This window comes from Homo sapiens, chromosome 20, assembly GCF_000001405.40.
Source record: "Homo sapiens chromosome 20, GRCh38.p14 Primary Assembly".
NCBI lineage: Eukaryota > Metazoa > Chordata > Mammalia > Primates > Hominidae > Homo > Homo sapiens.
Genome location: NC_000020.11, coordinates 48,842,090 through 48,865,264, shown reverse-complemented (window position 1 = coordinate 48,865,264; position 23,175 = coordinate 48,842,090). Strand labels below are relative to the sequence as shown.

Genomic DNA, 23,175 nt, shown 5'->3' with positions numbered 1-23,175 from the left:
ATGAACCCCTAGACCTGAAACTGCTGGCCAAAGGCTGTGTTCCTGTAAAACTTGGTAGTTGATGACAATTGTTTTAGAAAACTGCTCTGGCACCTTCCACTCCCCAGGGGTGTATGGGAGTACCTGTTTCCCCCAGAGACTCCCCAGTACCATTTTATAAGCTTATGGCTTTTTCTGCTACTGATTTGAATGATCCCACAGGAAGCAGGGTTGGGTAAGACCCCCCCCAACCCTGCCTCCTTGCCTGATTGTCAAAAACTTTGCCTGAGGTGTGTGGCTTCTCCCTGCCCAGTGACTCTGTTCTCCTGGTCAGGTCAGCCTGCTCCTCTGAAGAGCAGCATGTGTCACCAGGGATTTAATGGCTTAAAAATAAAGGTGATCTGATTGCACACAGGGCCCTGGCCAGCCATGAGCTCCAAGCCCTTCCCCCTGGTCCACAGGGACCACAGCTAAGCAACTGGAAGAACCCACGAAGAACAATGAAGTTTGGCTTCTCAGAACCATGAAAAACAAAGTGCCCGACACAAAGGCGTAAGAAGGTGAAGGTCAGGGTTCAGCTGGGCTCTGTCCCTAACCCTCCATCTGAAATGATCTTCCCATATTTTAGAGCAGTGGTTAAGTGCATAGACGGGAGAGCCATGACCTGGGTTTAAATCTTGCTCCCCTGACTTCGATGAGCGATGTGACCTCAGGTTCATGATTTCACCTCTCTGAACTATACTTTTCTCATCTGCAAAATTGAGATAACAGGCTTACTTCCCAGTGTGCTTGTGAAGACCAAATGTCATAAAGTACACAAAGTTTTTTGAACAACATTTGGCACAAAGAAAGCACACAATAAATATTAGCTGTGATTTCGTTACAAATATGATTCATTTATTTACTTGGTTATTGTCTGTCTGGAATATTAACCCCAGTAACGGACATCTCTCTTGTTCCCAGTGGTGTCTCCTGTCCCAGCACAGTGCCTGAACATAATAGGTCCTCTGTAAATATTCACTGGAGGAATAAGTGAAGGCATGAATGAATGAACAAGGAGAACTTGTCATTTCCTCTCCCTTAGCCTCAGTTTCTTTCTTTGTGAAATGAAAGATCGAAATTTCATTCTCTGCGTCCTCTTGTATTTTCCTAATCTGCAGTGATCATGTGTCATTGCTTTTTCCAATGGCAAGAAAAACTATAAAAAATGTATAAGCCTTTGTTCATAATTGCCAAAACGTGGAAGCAATCAAGATATCCTTCAATAGTTGAATGAAAAAGCAAACTGTGGCACGTCCAGACAAAGGAATATTATTCATTGATTAGAAAAAAAGATCTATCAAGCCATGAAAAGACATGGAAGAATCTTAAATGTGTATTGCTAAGTGAAATAAGACAATATGGGCTGGGCACAGTGGCTCATGCCTGTAATCTCAGCACTTTGGGAAGCCAAGGCAGGCAGATCACCTGAGGTCAGGAGTTTGAGACCAGCCTGGCCAAGAAAACCCCATCTCTACTAAAAATACAAAAATTAGCCAGGCGTGGTGGTGTGTGCCTGTAGTCCCAGCTACTCAGGAGGCTGAGGTAGGAGAATGACTTGAACCTGGGAGGCGGAGGCTGCAGTGAGCCAAGATCATGCCACTGCATCCCAGCCTGGGCGACAGAGCGAGACTGTGTCAAAAAAAAAAAAAAAAAAAAAGACAATATGAAAAGTCTACACACCATATGGCTCCAACTATATGACATTCTGGATAAACCAAAACTATAGAGAAAGAAAAAAAAAAAACAAAAAAACCCCACAAAACTGTGGTTGCCAGGGGTTTGTGGAGAAGGAGCGGGGAGGGATGAAAAGGTGAAGCACAGGAGAATTTTAGGGCAGTGAAACTATTCTACCTAATAAGGTAATGGTGGATGCATGTCATACATTTGCCAAGACCTGCAGACTGCATAACACAGTCAACTCTAATATAAACTATGGGCCTTAGTTAATAATAATGTACCCATATCAGCTCATCAATTGTAACAAATGTACTGCACTAATACAAGGTGTTAATAATGGGGAAAAGTAGGGGAGGGAGAGAGGGAGTATAAGGGAACTCTCTGTACTTTCCTTTCAATTTTTCTGTAAACATAAAATTCTCTGAAAAAATAAAGTCTAGGCTAAGCACAGTGGCTTACGCCTATAATCCTAGCACTTTGGGAGGCTGAGGTGGGAGGATCACTTGAGGTCAGGAGTTTGAGATCAGCCCAGGCAACCTGGTGTGACCCCATCTCTACAAAGAAAAAATAAAAAATGAGTTGGATGTGGTGGTGTATGCCTATAGTCCCAGCTGCTACTCAGGAGGCTGAGGTGGGAGGATCGTTTGAGCCTAGAAGTTTGAGGCTGCAGTGAGCTGTGATTGCACCACTGTGCTCCAGCCTGGGCAACACAGTGAGGCCCTGTCTCCAAAAAAAAAAAATAACGTTTATTAGTATATATATATATATATATATATTTTTTTTTTTAGGCTTTTTTAGCTTTTAAAGTTTCACTAGTTGGCTCTTCAAACACACACATATACCCCCTATACAGGCAGTGTTGTTTCCAATTTTTCATTCTTTTTTTTTAATGTGTGCTTTGATTTTTAGTAAAAGAGTTCAAGGAGTAACAAACTGTTTAGACCAGAATGATCACCTTGTACAACTTAGAGATTGAAGCCTGGAGAGGGGAAGTGGCTTGTCCAAGGTCACGTGATGAGAGATGAGAAAGCTAAAGTCTTTTACAGGCCTTCTCACCACCAATGTGCAGGTTCTGCCTCAGTTTTCTTCTCTGTAAAATGGGTTATAATAGTGCCTATCTCCTTGGATTGTTATGAGGATTCAATGAAATAATATGCATGGTGCTTAGAAGAAGGCATGGCACACAGTAAATGCTCAATAAAAGCTATCCTTTATTAGTATCAAATTATGGTGAGGAGGAGTTCAAGGGATGATGATGTCAGTTCCTGTCTTTCCTGTCTGGGTTGTCATGAAGAATCGTTTTAATAAGAGCCTTTTTGGTTTTTGCTTTTTTATTTTATTTTATTTTTTCTTTTGTTGAGACAGAGTCTCGCTCTGTCGCCCAGGCCAGAGTGCAGTGGGGCAGTCTCGGCTCACTGGAACCTCGCCTCCTGGGTTCAAGCAATTCTACTGCCTCAGCCTCCAGAGTAGCTGGGACTACAGGTGTGTGCCACCAAGCTTGTCTAACTTTTGTATTTTTAGTAGAGACAGGGTTTTGCCATGTTGGTCAGGCTGGTCTCAAACTCCTGACCTCAGGTGATCTGCCCACCTTAGCCTCTTGCAGTGCTGGGATTACAGGTGTGAGCCACCGCGCCTGGCCTGCTTTTTCATTTTCTCTATTTTTCGAGGGGAGGCAAGAGGGAGGTTATTGTTTGGAAGCCCCGCAAGCAGGCCTGGAGACTTCCTTTCCTGCTGGGAATCCCAACAAATTGAGAGGGAGTCAAGTTGTGGGGTGCCAGTGGGGCTTGCAGAGCCTCTTGTGAGGTCCCCCTATTTGGGAAACTGGTCCGAGGAATCCAGGGTTGGAGTTAAAAAAGGAGAGTCTCAGAGATAGTGTGTCCCATGATGGAAAACCCCTAAATTGTGTTTTAGAAGAAATCTTCACCCACAAAACCCTGAACCAGCTGTCACTGAAGTGTGAGGTCCCTCCACTGTCATTTTGTCCAGGCTTTGCAAACTCAGCTGCCTGCAAGGTCCTGGCAGGGAAGTTTTGTGCCTGTGGCAGGGGTGGAACTGAGGAGCACTAGCCCCATCCAAGGGGGAACCCTTCCAGACAGTGCACTTCCAGACTATGGTGACCTCGGAAAAACATAGCCCCCGGGTGGCCGGACCTTCTAATGGGATATCTCTCAGCTTTTAAATCTTGTGATGGCCGAACAAGACATGTCTGGGGTCAGATATAATTCCTGGACAACTTGCGAAGTCCAGCCTCCTCACTTGGAAAGATTGGGAAACTGAGGTCCAGGGAGGTGGAGTGAATTGTTTAAGGTTCCCCAAAGTCAATGTTAGAACTCCAGCTCCATTTCTCTCGACCTCTCCTTTCACTGTGATGCTGTTCTGGGGCTAAAGAGTGTCACTGAAAGTCTGAGATGGCTTATTTTGGGGTCACAAAGATCTGCTCCAGGCTATTAACATCTATAGAAGGAGCTGGGTGTGACTGCAATGCTGCTGGGGGCCCTTTCCTTCCCGTCAGAAAGTGAGATCTCTTTCTGGGCCCCAGGAAGGAGGCAGGGCCATCTTATTTGTTCTTACTACAATTTTTTTTCTTTTATTTTCTTTTGTAGAGACATGGTTTGACTATGTTGACCAGGATGGTTTCAAACTCCTGCCCTCAAGCAATCCTCCCACCTCGGCCTCCCAAAGTGCTAGGATTGCAGACATGAGCCACTGCGTCTGGCCTTTTTTTTTTTTTTTGAGGCAGAGTCTCACTTTGTCGCCCAGCCAGAGTGCAGTGGTGCGATCTCGGCTCACTGCAACCTCCACCTCCTGGGTTCAAGCGACTCTCCTGCTTCAGCTTCCTGAGTAGGCTACTGGCACGTGCCACCACACCTGGCTAATTTTTTGCATTTTTATTAGAGACGGGGTTTCACCATGTTAGCCAGGATGGTCTCGATCTCCTGACCTCATGATCCACCCGCCTCGGGGTCCCAAAGTGCTGGAATTACAGACGTGGCACCTGGCCTTTTAAGGAATTTTTAGTTGTGGTAAAATACGCATAACATAAAATGTAACATCTTAACTATTTCTAAATGTACAGTTCAGACGCGTTAAGTACATCCACATTGTTGTGCAACCTTCGCCACCGTCCAGCTCCAGAATTCTTTTCATCTTGCAAAGCCGAACTCCATGCCCATTAAACAACTCCCCATTCTGCCCTTCTGCCCCTGGCAACTGCCATTCTACCTTCTGTCTCTATGATTTTGACTACTCTAGGGACCTCATCTCAGTGTAATTGTATAGTATTTGTCTTTTGGTGACTGGCTTGTTTCATTAGCATAATATCCTCAAGGTTCACCCATGTTGTAGCATGTATCAGAATGTCCTTCATTTTTAAGGTTGGAATCTATTTCACTGCATGTAGATGCCACACTTGGTTAATCTATTCATCTGTGGTTGGACACTTGCATTGCTTCCAGCTTTTGGCTATTGTGAATAATGCTGCTATGAACACTGTTGCACAAATATCTGTTCAAGACCTTGGTTTCTTTTCTTTTCTTTTTTTTGTTTTTTGAGACAGAGTCACACTCTGTTGCCCAGGCTGGAGTGCAGTGGTGCAATCTCAGCTCACTGCAACCTCCACCTCCCATGTTCAAGCCATTCTCCTGCCTCAGCCTCTTAAGTAGCTGGGATTACAAGCATGCGCCACCATGCCTGGCCAATTTTTGTATTTTTAGTAGAGACAGGGTTTCGCCATGTTGGCCAGGCTGGTCTCAAACTCCTGACCTCAGGTGGTCTGTCCACCTCGGCCTCCCAAAGTGCTGGGATTACAGGCATGAGCTACCATGCCCGGTCAAGACCTTGCTTTCCATTCTTTTGGTTATATACCCAGAAGTGGAATTGCTGGGTCATATGGTAATCCTAATTTTAATTTTTTGAGGAACTGCCATTCTGTGGTCTACAGCAGCTGTACCATTTTACATTCCTACCAGTAATGCATACAGGTTCAAATTTTTCCCACATCCTCACCCAACACTTGTTATTTTCTGTGTATATTTGTTTTGTTTTGTTTTACTTTTTGATAGTAGTCATCCTGACAGGTGTGAGGTGAGGCAGGGGCTCCCTGATTTGTGTCTGGAAGTTCTTCCTGAAGGGTGGCTCCAGAATAGTCACATGGGAGAATCTTCATGGGGCATTTTGTGGGACTTATGGGGTGGGTGACTGGGTTTGTATTAAAGCAGTGTTGGCAGACAAACTCACTGGTTCTGTTTCTGGTATTGTTACAAGGTAGCCAGCCTGTTAAAATTCACAGGAATCACCAAGTTTTCTAAGAATCTTTTTGTTTCCGTTTGACATAGATGTATAAATGAGTTAAAATTCTAAAGTACTGGCCCAAGTGCTGTGGCTCCCACCTGTAATCCTAGCACTTTGGGAGTTTGAGGCAGGAGGATCGCTTGAGGTCAGGAGTTCAAAATCAGCCTGGGCAACATGGCAAGATCTTGCCTCTACAAAAAATTTAAAAAAATAATGAGCTGGGCAGGGTGGCACATGCCTGTAGTCCTAGCTACTCGGGAGGCTGAGATGGGAGGATCACTTGAGCCAAAGAGTTGGAGGTTGCAGTGAGCTATGATTCCACCACCCCACTCCAGCCTCGGTGACAAAGCTAGACCCTATCTCTAAATAAAATAATAAAATAAAATAAAATAAAAATAAAATAAAGTACGCAGTACAGTGAGTAGCACACATTAAGTGCTCAATAAAAGTGAATTATTATTGTTAATATCAGGACTTCAGCTGCCTACATTAAAGAAAGATAACACCAAAGAAGGTGGTCTGATGGTGATTTGATGGTAGAGAGTTAGAACCTCACAAGGGACCACTAATGGCTGCCCCTGCTGCCTGTCTATTTTCAGCCAGACTCACCCTGGGATCCTGTCTGTCACCTCTTAACACAGGAGTGAGGCCAGAGGAGACAGCTCAGACCTCTGGGAGCCTACACCCCAGGACAGAGCTGATAAGCTCCCCAGGTTGGGTCTGGCCTGTGTTCTCTCTGCCTTCCTATCCAGTTTGCAGACTGATTCGCTCCTGAAAGGTCTCTCTGTTCTCTCCTTTTCCCCATCCCCAATTTCTGCTGCTGTTGAGGATTGGGGGCAGATGCAAATTCATTTGCTGGGGCAAGGCTCCCAGAGAGTGTGACCTGCAGAAGCCGAGGAGAATATCTGCCTGTGTGTGAGAGGAGATTGATGCTGAGTGAGTTTGTGGGAAATCAGGGCTGTGGGAGTCACTTGACAGCCCAAGGCGGACGAGACAGAGTCACATGCCCGGAGTATAACCAGGAAGTTCCAGGGTTGACAGAGGAAGTCTTGGGATACATAGAAGGCCAAGGGGAGTTGCAGGCCTGTGAGCCTTGGCTCTGAAGAATGAGATCCAGGTTTTAAGGCCCAGCTCTCCCACCAACCATGGAGGCCTCGACTGGCAGCCACTGCCCTTAGGATTAAATCCACATTTCTTACAGTGGCCGGGAAGGCCTGAGACATGGCCCCTGCCGCTGCCATCGGCCCGTACCCTCCCCAGGTCTGCTCTGCTCTGCTCCAGCCCCACTGGACTTTCCTTTTTGCTGCTCCAAGGCCAAGCTTGCCCCCGCCACAGGGCCTTTGCATTTGCCACCCCTTGGCCCAGACCCCCCTTTTACCTGGCTCTGGGCATGGCTGCTTGTTGCTCAAGCTACAGGACCAGCTCATATGCAAACTCCCCCGGGACCCTTCACTGACCACCACTAAAGTAGTCCTGCCAATCCTACCTTTTTTTGTTTTGTTTTGACACAGGGTCTTACTCTGTCACCCAGGCTGGAGTGCAGTGGCGAAATCACAGCTCACTGCAACCTCAACCTTCTTGGTTCAAGTGATCCTGCCACCTCAGCCTCCCGAGTAATTGGGACCACAGGCATGCACCACCATGCTCTGTTAATTTTTGAATTTTTTGTAAAGATGAGGCGAGGGTTTCGCTATTTGCCCAGGCTGGTCTCAAACTCCTGAGCTCAAGGCTGGTTTTTTTAAAAAACTGTCTCCCAGGCTGGAGTGCAGTGGTGTGATCATAGCTCATTGCAGGTTCAAACTCCTGGGCTCAAGTGATTCCCCCGCCATGGCATCTCAAAGGGCTGGGATTACAGGCATGAGCCACTGTGCCCGGCCAAGCCCTCTGGTTTATTTCATCCATAGCTCTTGGCATCCTCTGAAATTACCTTTCTCATTATGTTATCTTATACCGGTTTATAGTCACTTCTTTTAGAGAGAAGGTCAGCTCCTAACTGTGGAGCCCAAGTGTCTCAGATGAGGTGTGTTTCCCTACTCTGGGCCTCAGTTTCCTCATCTGTGGAAAGGGGCCAAAGAGCCCAATATCTTCTCTGACTCTTATACACCATGGGTGGCAAGGACCTAAGAAATTTAGGGGTAGGCTGGGCACCGTGCCTCATGCCTATAATCTCAGCCCTTGGGGAGGCCGAGGAGTGTGGATCACCTGACGTTGGGAGTTCGAGACCAGCCTGGCCAACATGGTGAAACCCTGTCTCTACTAAAATACAAAAATTAGCCGGGCATGGTGGCATGCACCTGTAATCCCAGCTACTCGGGAGGCTGAGGCAGGAGAATTGCTTGAACCTGGGAGGCAGAGGATGCAGTGAACCGAGATCATGCTACTGCATTCCAACCTGGGTGATAAAGCAAGACTGTCACAAAACAAAACAAAAAAAGAAATTTAGGGGAATGTTTTGAAAACCACAAAGGAGAAGTTGAGAAGTCACTTGCTGAGGGCAAAGAGACCCACTGGTGGGAGAAACTGGCCATTTAACACATTTAATTTGTTTTGCAAACTGTTGTTTTTCCCAGCCCATCCACCCGGCAAAGAGTCTCATCCCCCTCTTGCCCTAGGGGAAGTAACAACCTTTTAGGAAGAAAAGAAAAGAAAAGTGATTTTACTTACTCTCCTGTCACCTGGGAATGGGATGGTTCAGTATTTTTTCAGTCTTGAGCCTGATCCTGACACTGGGGCTCTGGCAGGAACTTGCAACGTGGCCTTGGATGGTTCTCCTGCCTTCTCTAGGCCCTGCTGTTTCCATTCCTTGAAGGAGAGGATGGGAATGTTTGAAGTTTGGGCTCTCTCAGTGCTGGTATTTAGGATAACATGGACTCACCAGGAGGGAGAAGAAACCACTTTGTCCTAAAGTGCCCCTGGCATGGGCGTCGTCCAGTGCATCCATTAATAACACTCCTACTGGACCCTGTGCAGCCTCTCAGAGCAATTTCCCATCCATTACCTCCCAGCAACTCTGGGATGGATGTGGGCCAGCAGGCCGCTGTCCTCACCCTAGTTTGGCAGAGAAGAAAGGAGGAGACAGCAAGGCCTTGTCTGCCGCTCCAGACTTAGGCCCTACCACTGTCTCCCTGGGTTCTGCCTCAGGGCCATTGCACCTGCCACTCCCTGTCTCCACCTGGAATACTCTTTCCCCAGGTACACACACTTCATTAGCTCTCCTCTGTCATGTTTCCAAGAGGCCTTCTCTGATCACCTTGTTTAAAATAACAGCCGCTCCCTCGTCACTCTCCATCCCTTTACTCTGTTTTATTTTTCTTCATGGCATTTTTTGAAACTTAAACATTAGATGATCTCTTTACTTATTTATTTATTTATTTGAGACAGAGTCTCTCGCTCTATCGCCCAGGCCGGAGTACAGTGGTATGATCTTGGCTCACTGCAACAATCTCCGCCTCCTGGGTTCAAGTGATTCTCCTGCTTCAGCCTCCTGAGTAACTGGGATTACAGGCACATGCCACCACAACCGGCTAATTTTGTAGGTTTAGTAGAGATGGGGTTTCGCCATGTTGGCCAGGCTGGTCTTGAACTCCTGACCTCAAGTGATCCACCCTCCTTGGCCTCCCAAAGTGCTGGGATTACAGGCGTGAGCCACTGAGCCTGGCCTCTTTACTTACTTATTTTCTGTCTCCTCTGCCGGAGTGTCAGCTCCATGAGCTGAAGAATGTTGTCTGCCTTGTTCGGTGCTGTGTCCCCAGTGCCTAACAGATGACTGGAACAGAGTCTGTGCTCACTAAATAACTGTAGGATTGAATGAGTCTCCCAGGGATGTGGAAGTGGAAGCAACCTTGAAAGAGGAATTTCATCTGTCCCCCTGCCGCCAGGATGGACTTGGTACCCAGGGTCTCTCTCCTGTGAGCGTCTCTCAGCAGAAATCAAGATTATTAAAACCAAAACCAAAAAATAAAGTGGTTAAAATGATGACCAAGATATAGGCACTTTCTTTTCTAGCCCTATCTTGCTTTCTTAGAAGGGTTGACGGCAACAGGAAGAAAAGGCAAGATGTATTGGTTACATGTTGCTGATGAATGATATGGACAAACTGCTTAAGAAGGAGATTTTGATTCCTTCTTGCCCAGGATTAGGGGTTTTCTAGCTATTTTTTATACCTTGCTCACTAGTACTGGATAATAATCGGTATGATAATCATATTAACAAGGTCTTGTGTGGAGGACTTTAAGTATGTTATTACTAAGCCCTAAAACAGCCCTGAGAGGTGGATATGGTTGTGATGATCCTCATTTTAGGGGAGGAAAGTGAGGCTCTAAAATGTGAAGCACAGGAGGTAATCAATTTGCCCAGGGTCACACAGCCAGGTGCAAACATGGTTGACTGTTTCCATCATCTCACTCACTGCACTGGGCCAAATGACCTCTGGAAACCCCCTTCAAGGAATGAAATTCCCTGTAGCTGAGAGGTTAAGAGCGGAGGCTCTAGAATCAGACTGTCTCTGAACCTGGGCTATATGACTGACCTTGGTAAAATTCATTACCTGTTTTGGGCCTCGGCCTCTTCATCTGGAAAGTGAGGATGATCGTAATGGTGATGGTGATACCAGTATCAATGGAGATTCAATGAGTTTAATCTTCGAGGTGCTCAGGATAGAGGTTGGCATGTGGTAAGTGCTTAGTACATGTGGTTTTTTTTAGTTTTTATTTTTTAGAGAGGGTGTCTCACTCTGTTGCCCAGGCTGGAGTGCAGTGGTGTAATCATAGCTCACTGTAGTCTCAAACTCCTGGGCTCAAGTGATCCTCCCACCTCAGCCTCCCAAGTAGCAGGGATTATAGGCATGAGCCACAGGTGCCTGGCTAGTTATTTTTAGTATCATTCTTTTGTACACACTCTGCCCCTCCCTCTGTCAGACACACACACACATATACACATCCAGTGGGCTTCCCGGAGGAAGAATTCTGCCAGACAGGCCAGGCAGCCACTTGAGTTCCGACCTAGAGTCAGGCTTAGATCTCCTCCCCTGGAGGTGAAATTTCCTACTAAGTGGGGAGTAATCACCTCTTGTGGTCTTTACTACCCTCCCCCAACCACTACACTCACACCAGCTCCACACACAAGTCATGTGCCTGTCCCTCGGCCTGCGTGTGACTCAGCCCAGCAGCTGGACCCGATGGTGAGAGGAGAGTTGGAGATTAGCACTGCCAGGGGTTGTTCGGAGCAGCTGCCTGACTGCAAAGGTCAAGGGATTGGGTTTCCACCTTGCAGTGACGTCCTGAGAGGTGTGCACGGGACCCCATGGAGAGAAGGCTGTGGATTGCCCCATCTGGCTCACCCATCCAGGTTCATATTATAATGAGTCTTTTCATGTGTATGCTTGACAGTTTATGAAGAGTTTTCTCACCACCCAAGGTCTGCAGGGCAGCCAGGACTATTTTGATCATCCCCATCGAGGCTAAGTGTCTTGCTTGATGTCACTCAGCTGGTGGAGCTGGGATCCAACTGAGGTTTGCAGAGTTTAAGCTCAGCAGGCTTTCAACACACTGTATTGACTGTCCTTAAAGGTGTATGCAAGTGTGTGTGTGTTCATATGTGTGCATGTGCGTTGGATGTGTGTGTGTGCATGGTGTACCAAGGCAGAAGGTATCCTACTGATATGGTTTGGCTCTGTGTCCCCACCCAAATCCCACCTTGAATTGTAATCTCCATAATCCCCACATGTCAAGGGCAGGACCAGGTGGAGGTAATTGAATCATGGGGGTGGTTCCCCCCATGCTATCTCGTGATAATGAGGGAGTCTTCTGAGATCTGATGGTTGCATAAGCCTCTGGCATTTCCCCTGCTTGCACTCATTCTCTCTCCTAATGCCCTGTGAAGAGGTGCCTTCAGCCATGATTGTAAGTTTCCTGAGGCTTCCTCAGCCATGCAGAACTGTGAGTCAATTAAATCTCTTTTCTTTATAAATTACCCAGTCTTGGGTATTTCTTCATAGCAGCATGAGAATAGACTAATACATCCACCATGTTACCTGCAGCTCAGCTTTTCTGATGGTCTAAATTCATGTCTGAGCATTAGAAGTATGTGGTGAGTCTTTCTATTTATGTATAATTATAATTTAAAATTTTTGTTTATTTTTAAACAGGTATCATATTCACGTAGTTCAAAATTCAAATGGGTACAGTAAAATGTCACCCTCCCTTCCCTGTCACCCATCCACTCAGTTTCCCTTTCCAGTTACTAGTGTCTTCTACCAGGCAATTCTGTGCATTTACAAGTGAATATAAATATAAATATTCCCCACATACCCACCCAGCCAACACTCTTTATATAAGTGGTTACCCACTCCACTCACTATTCTCCTCCTTGCTTTTAAAATAATATGCCCTAGAGTTCATTCCATACCAGTACCTAAAGCACTGCCTTGATACTTGATACTTTTCAAGGCTGTATAATGCTCCTCCTTTCTGAGATGCACCATAATTTATTGGGCTAGTCCCCTATTGATGGACAATTAGGTTATTTCCCATACTTGCAATTACATACTATGATACAATGCATCATCTTGTACATACATCACTGGGTGTGTGTGTGGGAGATCTAGGGCCTTGCTACTCAGAATGTTCCAGGACCATCAGCTGGGCATCAGATGGGAGCTTTGTTAGAACTGCAGCATTACAGGCTCCAACCCAGATCTGCTCCATCAGGATCTGCATTTTAAAAAGATGACCGGGGTGTGTATGCACATTAAAGTTTAAAAAGCATTGGTTTAGAAGACAGATTCCCAGAAATGGAATTGCTAGGTCAAGAGATAGGTGCATTTATAATTTTGACAGGTCCAGCCAAATTGACATCTGCAGATATTGATTCAATACATATTCCCATAATGGATAAGCATTTTGGGAGGATCTTGAAAAAAATTCCGCCTCCAGCACCATGACCTATGGGAGAGTAGGTTTCGGTGGGTCTGGGTGGGCCTAGGGATCTGTGTTTTATATACTGCTTGAGTCATTTGATTTCACCAGGTTTAGGAACAACTGACCTAAATATATCCTTAACCTTTGACTGTAGAACCATTTTTGGGGTCCTGGGTGACATGGTTATAATGGTCTTTAACTCTCCATCCAGGAATGGCAAACTCAAATGCCTGAAAGGGGCAGATAGATAGTACTGGTGACTAAAGTGGGCTGGGTTAGGTTTCCATTGACATCTAAGTTAAAAAAAAAAATAGGTGCAGACCCAGCAAAACACGTTTGGGCTAAAACCTGGCCCACAGTCTATGAATTTGTGGCTTATGGAATTCTCGAAAGGTCCTTTTAAATATTTTTGGCAAATAATCCCATACTGCCTGGTGAGGTCTTGGCTGTCCTTCCCCCACAGACTATTAGAGATCGTAGGGACCAAGTTCAAGGCTCTCACAGATGAGAAAACTAGACTCAGAGTGGTGAATGGGTGAACTTCAATATTTAAATATTTAAAATATTTAAATCAATATTTACGGACGATCAGGCAATGTCCCCATGCTGGGGGATTGAAGCCTACAGGGCAAGGTTCAGGTCCTTCAGGAAGGCGGGGACAAATGCATAACAAACAAGTGACAGCCAACCAGCGTGCACCATGCCATACTATGACTTGGTTCCCAGTGCTAAAGGGGCTCACAGGACCAAGGGATGGTCACAAAGGAGGTAAGGCTGAGAAAGACAGTGGTAGTTTTTGTTCATCTCAAGTAGAGATTTATTTATTATTTATTTATTTATTTTTATTTATTTTTAAACGGAGTCTTGCTCCGTCACCCATGCTGGAGTGCAATGGCGTGATCTCAGCTCACTGCAACCTCCACCTCCTGGGTTCAAGCAATTATCCTGCCTCAGCCTCCCACATAGCTGGGATTACAAGCACCTGCCACCACGCCTGGGTAATTTTTGTCTTTTCAGTAGAGATGGGGTTTCACCATGTTGGCCAGGCTGGTCTTGAACTCCTAACCTCAAGAGATCCGCCCGCTTCAGCCTCCCAAAGTGCTGGGATTACAGGCGTGAACCACCATGCCCGGCCTCAAGTAGCGATTTAGACCAGAGATCAGCAAACATTTCCTGTAAAAGGCCAGATAGGGAATTTTTCAGACTTTGCAGGACCCATGGTCTGTCACAACTGTTCCACTTTGCCACTGTAGCAAGAAAGCAGCCACAGACAATAGGTAAACAAAGGAGTGTGGCTGTGTGCCAATAAAACTTTATTTATGGAAGCCAAAATTTGAATTTCATATAATGTTCATGTGTCACGAAATAGTCTTCTTTTGATTCCCCCCATCCCAGCCATTTAAAATGTGAAAACCATTCTTAGCTCACAAGCTGTACAAAAGCAGGCAGGGGGCGGGGGGCTGGATTTGGCTGGTGGCCAGAGTTTGTCAACCCCTAATTTAGAAGATGAAGAGGAGTTTGCCAGGCAGACAGAGGAAGGGTGCTCCTGGCAGGGAGGTTGGCAGGTGCAGAGGCACGGAGATGGCGGGGAAGAAAAGATTCAGCAGAAATGTTGGGATCAAAATGCCGGGCTCTTGGCTCCCATTCCAGTCCCAGCTCCCCTCCTCTCAGATCCTGTAGTCATGGCTCTTGAAATAAGTTTCCCCTCTTAAACCTGCTCAGAGCTTCTTATCCTTAAAAAAAAACAAAATATTTTCTCTCTCCTTCAAGATATGGTCCAATTTGGCCAGGTTTCTCAGAAGAGCAGTTGGCAGCTCCTGGAAGACTCCCCAGCCCCAGCTCAGGCCCTGTCCCTGTCCCTGTCCCTGTCCCTCTGAAGCTGGCTTCTGCCCCAGCGTTTCTCCCAAAGGTCACCGGTGACTTCCCTGCTGCCAAATTGCAACCGCCTAATCTGGGTCCACATCGTTACCCCTCTGCTAGAGCTTTTGTCACTGTTTACCAGCCCTGGCTTCTGGAAACTCCTTTCTCTCCTGGTTCCTATAAAGCTGCTCCTCCCTGGGTTTCCTCCCCTCGGCCCTCCGCTTGCCCCGGGTCACTCTCTACTCTGCAATAAAGGTTCTAGCTCAGTGGATGGGAAAGCCAGAGCCCACCCGGGCCAGAAAGGTAGAGAAAATGACTGAAGGGAGCTGGATGTGTTCCTTAGAGGCAAACACCCTTTGGTTGTTGAATAATAACAGTAGATAACACCAGAGTATTTAACAAGTGCTCATTGCTGCTCTATAGACTTTTAATTCTCATAACAACCCTTGGAGGTTACTATTATTATTCCCATCTTTCAGATGGAAAACTGATGCACAGAGAAGTTGAGTAACTTGCCCAAGATCACACAGCATGACAGTGGTGGTCATGATATGAACCCAGAACATCTGGCTCCAGAGTGAGCATAACCACCCCACTACAACTTTGATGCTACCTTTCTCCCCACTACCACCCTCACTTGCCAAATTATAAAGATTCTACCTATTTACCATTATTCCCCCCCACTCCCCACCAAGTAGGCAATGTGTTGAGCTCCTTGAAGTATGTGGTGGTAGAAATCCTGACCCTTTGGCTGATTTTACTAAAACCTACAAACAGAGGGATGTAAAAGACATTTTGCACATTCATATCACAGAATATGCTATGCGGCAGTTTACAGAGGGAAATAGATCTGTAAGTGTGGATGTGGAAAGATCTATGAGTTATATTTATAGAGTGAAGCCAGCAAATTGCAGAACAATATGTCCACTATCCTTTCATTCCACAGATATTGATGGAGCAGCCACTCTATGCTGGACACTGGGAATCTAGCAGTGAACAAAACAAATTCCCTGCCCCAGCTGAGCTAACATCCTAGGCAGGGAATCAAACAATACGGCCTGGGTGGTAAGTACAATGAAGAAATATATAATGCAAGATTTTTGTAAAAAGAGTCACCACAAAACAATACTATATATATATCCATAGAAGACACATAGTATTGTTCTGTTTCTAGTATTGTATTTGTTTCTAGTATTGTTTTGTTTATTTCTATGGAGACACATATATAATCACACATATATAGTGATATGTATATATATATCTATAGAAAACAGAGGAATACTCTGACATGTTAAGGATGTTTAAGCTACATGGTGGAAATGGAGGTGATTTTCATTTTCTTCTACATGCTTCTCCGGGTTTCCAAGGTTTTAGCAATGCACAAACATTCCTTTTTTTTTTTTTGAGACAGGGTCTTCCTCTGTTTCCCAGGCTGGAGTGCAGTGGCACAGTCAATATATCAGGCCAGGCATGGTGGCTCACGCCTGTAATCCCAGCACTTTGGGAGGCTGAGGTGGGTGGATCACCTGAGGTCAGGAGTTCGAGACCAGCCTGACCAATATGGTGAAACCCCCGTCTCTACTAAAAACACAAAAATTAGCTGAGCACAGTGGTGTGTGCCTGTAGTCCCAGCTACTCAGGAGGGTGAGGCAGGAGAATTCCTTGAATGCCAGAGGCGGAGGTTGCAGTGAGCCGAGATCCCGCCACTGAACTCCAGCCTGAGCGACAGAGCGAGACTCCAACCACCCCCCCTAAAAATGTTATATATCTATACATATAAATGTACAAGAAAAGGTCTGCAAACGTCTGCGAAGCAGCATCCCAAACTGCTGATGGTAGTTATTCTGGGGGGACTGGTGGGTGCCAGGTGGTTATCCAAAGGTATTTTAGCCTTGCAGGAGACTATACTCATGTATTACTTGTGTAATTAATAAGTAATAATAGGCCGGGTGTGGTGGCTCACATCTGTAATCCTAGCACTTTGGGAGGATGAGGCGGGCAGATTGCTTGAGACCAGGAGTTCAAGACCAGTCTGGGCAACATGGCAAAATGCTCTGTCTACAAAAAAAATATAAAAATTAGCTGGGTGTGGTAGTGTGTACCTGTGGTCTCAGCTACTCGGGAGGCTGAGGTGGGAGGATCAATTGAGCCTGAAAGGTTGAGGGTGCAGTGAGCCACAATTGTGCCACTGGACTCCAGACTGGATAACAGAACGAGAGCTTGTCTCAAAAAGAAACAAAAAAAAAAAAAAGAAAAAATGTAATGATATCGAGAAATTGGAACCCTCATATAGTGCTGGTGGAAATATAAAATGGTACAACCACTTTGGAAAACTGTTGACAATTTCTCATAAAAGTTAATCATATGACTCAGTTATCCCACTCCTAAGTATTTGCTCAGGAAAAATGAAAACCTACATCCATGCACAGACTTGGCCAATATTTATAAGTGGCTCTTTCATAATAGCCCCAAAGTGGAGACAACCCAAAAGATTCTTGCAGGATGAACACACTGTGATTTATCCACACAATGGGACACTACTCAACAATGAAAAAGAACAAGCTACTGATACGTGGAGAAATCTAAAAACATTGTTTATGTTGAGTGAAAGAAACCAGACACAAAAAAGCACATAGCACATGATTCCAATTACATGGCAGGCAAAACTAATTTATAGAAATCAGAAGGATGGGGGCTGACTGGAAGGGGACCCGGGGGAAATTTCTGGGGTGAGGGGAATGTTCTAGATCTCGATTGGAAGGGTGTACACACGGGTGTAGACATTTGTCAAAATGCATTGAGTCATATATTCCAGACATGTGCATTTCACTGCAAGTAAATTTCACCTTAGTAATAATATGAAAAAACACCACCAAAGCCTGGAAAGGAATACTCTGACAAGTTAAGAGTGTTTTATCTCTATATGGTGGAAATAGAGGCAATTTTCATTTTCTTCTATATGCTGCTCTGGGTTTTCCAAGGTTTCCGTGATGCACACACATTCCTTTACAGAGCAGAAAAGAGTTTCAAAAACAACACGGCCTATACATTATAGATAAAGCATATGTGTCTCTTTTGTGTGTCTTTTATTTATTAGTCATTTGGGGAGGGTTTGTTTTTTTTTTTTTTTTTTTTATAAGAGAAGGAAGAGGGAGGGCAGGGCAAAGAAAGGAATCCTCTCAGTTTTTTCAGAGCACTCTCAAAGGCCCCCTCCTCCATGAAGTATTCCTTGATCTCTCCCCCAAATCTCTGCCTCTGCATAACTCATCTTAACTCCACTCTGACCCAGAAGGACAGGGTGCTTTCCTATTCTCTGAGAGCCTAGAGCACAGAGCTTTGCACAAGGTGTCTTGTTGGTCTGGGATCCTAGCACTGTCTTTTTAAGAAAGCCCCAAAGCAGGCCCCGGGTGTGGGTAGGCCCCTTGCTGGTCATATTTTCCACCCACCGCTGAACCTATCCCAGGCTGATGAGGAACTGAGAGGGTGACCTCCTAGCCCCTGGAGGGTAGGAACACATACTTAGGGGACTCCCAGAGGCTTTGTAGAAACTCCTGCCTCCCCTTGAAAGGTCAAGCAGCCATCTCTGGCCTGTCCTCTCCTACTTTTGGGTTTTCTTCGCCTAGAGTGAGGCACGTGGGTGGGTGGGGGCTGCAGCCGGCTGTAGACGGGAGTGTCCAGCAGGCACATGTTGCTTCTCTCCTGGCCCTCTGGTCCCCGAGGGAGCTCTGTTAACACTCCCAGGCACCCCATCCATGGGGCTGGGAGACTGTTTGCTGGGGCCACCTTTGGCTGGGGAGCAACTGGGCCACTGGCATTGTTTCTGTCTCCAGCAACACAATAGAAGTTTTGCTGGGGTCCAGGGAGCGTCTACAAAGTGCTCTCCTTTGACCGCCAGGAGCGGCTGCCTGGCTTTTAATCTCTGGTGTGGAGTGGGCAGGGCAAGACCAAGGTGGAGACTGTTGTACTGTAGGAGGGTCGGGCTGTTTTCAAGGGGAGTGGTTGTGTGAGATGAACGAGGTGCCAGACAGCAGGATGGTGGGGGAGGAGACAGCGAGGACATCCCCATCTATTAATATAAGGTGGGCTGGGAGACCACCAAGCCAGAAGTCAAGTTCAAAAACCTGCTGGAGAAAGGAGTGAGAATGGACAGAGGATAAGACCACCTGCAAGTTCTTTCCTCTCCGCCGTGAAATTATATGCGGGATCCTCCCTTGCACTTCTCCCCTGGGCCAATCCAAGCCCCACTGCCTGCAGCCCCCTTTCTGGACATGCACCACAGCCTGTAGCTAGTCTCCTTGTTTCCTCTAGGCCAGGCTTTGATTTATTGGCTATGTGACCGTAGGCAAGTTTCTGTAATTCTCTGTGCCTCAGTTTCTTCATCAATAAAATGGGAATGATTATGGTGCTGACCTCATGGGGTCGGTGGGAGGACTTAATGAGTTAATATATACGGAATGTGCTTAGAACAATGCCTGGCACACAGTATCTACTATCAAAGTGTTAGCTGTGATCATTTTTATTATTATGGGCCATCGTCCATGCAATAGCCTGTGAGACCATTTAAAAACCTGAGTCACATCATGTTACATCCTTGTTTAAATTCCTCCCCTGGCTGCCCACTGCACTTAGCATAAAATCCACACATCACTTTTGAGGCCCTGCTGGATCTGCCTGTCTCCACATTACCACCTCACTGGCCTCCTCGCGGCTTCTGGAAAGCTCAAATTTGGTCCAGCCTTGGGGCCTTTGCACTTGCTATTTCCTCTGCCTAGAAAGCTCTTTTTTTTTTTTTTTTTTGGAAACAAGGTCTTGCTTTGTCACCCAGGCTGGAGTGTAGTGGCACAGTCACGGCTCATTACAACCTCAGCCTCCTGGGCTCAAGTGATCCTTCCACCTCAGCCTCCAGAGTAGCTGGGACTAAAGGCATGGACCATCACACCTGGCTAATTTTTTTGTATGTTGTAGAGACACTTTTCGTCATGTTGCCCAGGCTGGTCACAAACTCCTGGCCCCAAGCAATCTTCCTGCCTTGGCCTCCCAAAGTGCTGAGATTACAGCGTGAGCCACTGCGCCCAGCCTAGAAAACTCTTCTCATGCTTTGCAGAGTTGGTTTTGGCTGTGCATTTAGATCTCAGCTTATTTATTACCTGCCTATGGAAGCCTCCCCTGATCACCTTATCTAGGTGTGTGCCTCCCTGTATTTTTCTATGAGAACATCCTGTTTATTTCTTAGCTGCTGTCAGTTATGGGTTAATTGTTTAATATCTCCCTCTAACCGGAAATATAAGCTTCACGAGGGATGGAACTTTGTCTTAGTCACTGTGTTATCCCCTACATCTTGCATAATGCCCAGTGCATAGAGGAGCTTAGTAAATGAGAGTTCGTTACATGAATGAATAAAGGAATGGAAAAAAGACTTGAGGATCACTCATGAGAGAAATCACATAGATGGCGATGCCATTTATCTAGTGAATAAAAGTCTTTTGGGGAATGTGGCAGATAATTGATTCAAGTTGGGACACATTTTTAAAGTGCTTGTAGGACTGCTTGGGAAGATGTCCATTAAACATCCCACGTAGGTCTGGAGTGATGTGAGAAAGAAGGTTATAGCTGGAGTCATGTTTCTGGAAGTTTTACCATACAAGCAGTATATCCATCAAGATGACTTTTGCTATAAGTAAATGAAGACTGAACCCAATGTGTTTTATGCAATGTGTCCTGAGATAGGACAGTCCCAGGGTTGGGTAATTCGGCTCAAGAGCAGCATTGAGGATCCAGGTTCCTTGCATCTTTCCATCTACCATGATGGCACGGTCTCCGTTCGTGGGTCCAAGTTGGCTGCCATAGCCCCTAGACATCGTGCTGTCACAACAACATCCACAAGCCACAAGAGCAGAACAAGTCACTTTCCTTTCCTGTATCTTGTTTTGAGAGGGAAGAAGACCTTCCCTGAAGCCTCCAGCAGATTTCCATCAAGTCTTATTGGTTAGAAATGAGTCACATGCCTCTTCATGATTGGCTGAATTTCATTAAGATCTGCCTGCTGGGGGTGAGGAGGGTTCATTCTCTCCAGAAGCATATGGTGGCCAAACTTGGGGTTTCAATAGGGAGAAGGGGAAAATGTTGCTGGTTTGCAACCAATGGTGTCTTCAATGGGTGTAGAAGATAGAGTCTGAGCACATATCTGCTGCCAGAGAAGGCCAGTAGAACATGGCCGTGCAAGGGAATGGGGGGTACAGGGTATCCCAAATATTTCCTGCAAAAAGCATGTTTTAAGAAGGAGAGAAATATCACTGTGCTGAGTGCTACTGAATAATTGAATATGATAAGGATGGAGACACAGCTACTAGATTTTTTTTTGAGACAGGGTCTTGCTGTGTTGCCCAGGCTGGAGTGCAGTGGTGCAATCACAGTTCACTGCAGCCTCGACCTCCCAGACTCAAGTGAGGTTTCTACCTCAGCCTCTCAAGTAGCTGGGACTAGTGTTGCATGCCACCATGCCTGGCTAACTTTTTTTAAATTAATTTTTTAGATAATATGTTGCCCAGGCTGGTCTTGAACTCCTGGCCTCAAGCAATCTTCCTGCCTTGGCCTCCCAAAGTGCTGGGATTACAGGTATGAGCCACCATGCCAGGTCACAGCTACTAGATTTGGACTTGGCAGTCCAAATTTTTGACCTTGATGAAGGCAGTTTCAGTGAAATTATGGATTTTTCTGAAATCCACATCTGCATCCCCACTCTTGCTGTCCAAACTCCATGCCTCACCATTGCTTGTCCGGATTCTTAGAACAGCTTTCTCACTGATCCCTCAGCCTGGAGAAGACAGGTATATTGCAAAGGACTTTCCATGCCACGCTGAGCAAACTATAATTACTTTAGTCAGCAGTAGGGAGCCAGTGAAGGTGCTTGAGCACAGGGATAAGTAACTTGATCATGTTTGCCCTTTATAGCATTAACCTGGCAGAGTGTTCAGGAGGGAATGTAGACTGGTGAGTCTGGAGGAGCCTCCCTCAATTCTTTGTTATTGCCTAGCCAGCATTTATTTCTCTTCTTGTAGTACTGGGGCTCCAGTTAACCTTGTGGGGACCATTCCTCCCTTCCTTTCTAGTAGAAAATACATGACTCAGGCCTGGCCATTCAGAGTCATAGTGATTGAACACATGACCCAATCCTGACCAATCAGAGACAGCCTTCTGAGTTACACTCTTGGGAAAGAAGCAATCTTTGAGCACCTGGATCCAGCCATGCCCGAAGTTAGACAGGCTTAGATGACCCAATATATTCCGTATTTTCCCTGAACTGGTTTGAGTTGGATTTCTGTCACTTGCATCTTTAGGATCATTGAGTAATACGGAAACTAAGCAATTTGAGGAATTAGAATTCTAGACACAGATAATACGAGAGTCAAGGTTGACCTTGGAGTCTCTTCCTGGGAGGATGGTGAGGCATCTTAAGATTAGGCAAGTATGGGAAACAATCCATTAATTCATTTATTCAAAAAATGTTTGTTGATTATCTAAATGGTGCCAGGCTCTGTGCTAGCCCCGACCATACAGCAATGAGCAAAATAGATGAAAAACCCTTGTTTATATTGAGCATATATTATGATTAGTGGCTCAGGAAACATTATCTACCTTTATTCTGTTATTATGATTATCATCATTATCATCCCCATTTATAGATGCAAAAACTGGGGCCCCCAAGAAGTGAAGTCACATAGCCAGTGAGGGGCCAAGTGGATGTTTGGCTTCATCTCTTCATAATTCCCAAATCAACTCTGTCTGATTTGGTGCAAAAAGCATATTTTAAGAAGGAGAGAGAAATCACTGTGCTGAGTGCTACTGAATAATTGAATATGATAAGGATGGAGACACGGCTACTAGATTTTTATTTTGAGACAGTGTCTTGCTGTGTTGCCCAGCCTGGAGTTCAGTGGCACAATCACGGTTCACTGCACCACGCTGGAGAGAGAGAATATACCCACGTGGAAGAGACTTCACACTCCAGAAAGCAAGCTACAAATTATTTGAAAGGGGTAGAATAGGAATTTTCTACACAAAGGCTGCAGGAATACACTGCAAGACAGAAATGAGATCAGAAGAGGGTGAGATTTGATTTGCAAATCATAGTGGTTTTAGAGCTGCTCTGAGAGCTGGTCTTTGAGATTAGATTAATCAAGGCTTTCCGAAAGAAGAGGTGTTTGTGGCAGGGTCTTAAAAAAAGGGAAAGTTATTGGTAGGAGAAAGTATAAGTCTGTGGCCGCCTAAATCACTCTATGTGCCACATTCTTAATCAGACACTAAGTCCATTTTTTTTTCTTTTTTTATTTCTTTCATGCTGATAGGCATGGGGGAAAGAAGTCCTGGTTAGCATGACTTGACAGCTTTTGTTGTTGCTGCTGAAATCATT

General features: G+C 45.7%; 1 protein-coding gene across 1 annotated transcript in view, besides 2 other annotated features; it reads left to right on the top strand.

Annotated features, from left to right (window-relative positions):
* PREX1 (phosphatidylinositol-3,4,5-trisphosphate dependent Rac exchange factor 1) overlaps nt 1-23,175 on the top strand; it is a 263,934-nt gene that overhangs the window by 22,921 nt on the left and 217,838 nt on the right. Inside the window, exon 2 of the mRNA XM_047440333.1 lies at nt 15,712-15,830. The gene's annotated coding sequence lies outside the window, so the exon portion shown is untranslated. The remainder of the gene's footprint in view (nt 1-15,711; nt 15,831-23,175) is intronic.
* Nucleotides 6,793-7,293: an enhancer, noted in NCBI's record as "H3K4me1 hESC enhancer chr20:47474509-47475009 (GRCh37/hg19 assembly coordinates)". NCBI's record gives its function as "activates a minimal SCP1, AML or CMV promoter by ChIP-STARR-seq in naive H9 embryonic stem cells {active_cell/tissue: H9 hESC(naive)}" and the evidence as "EXISTENCE:reporter gene assay evidence [ECO:0000049][PMID:30033119]".
* Nucleotides 18,272-18,551: an enhancer, noted in NCBI's record as "active region_18050". NCBI's record gives its function as "activates an Ori minimal core promoter by ATAC-STARR-seq in GM12878 lymphoblastoid cells {active_cell/tissue: GM12878}" and the evidence as "EXISTENCE:reporter gene assay evidence [ECO:0000049][PMID:35858748]".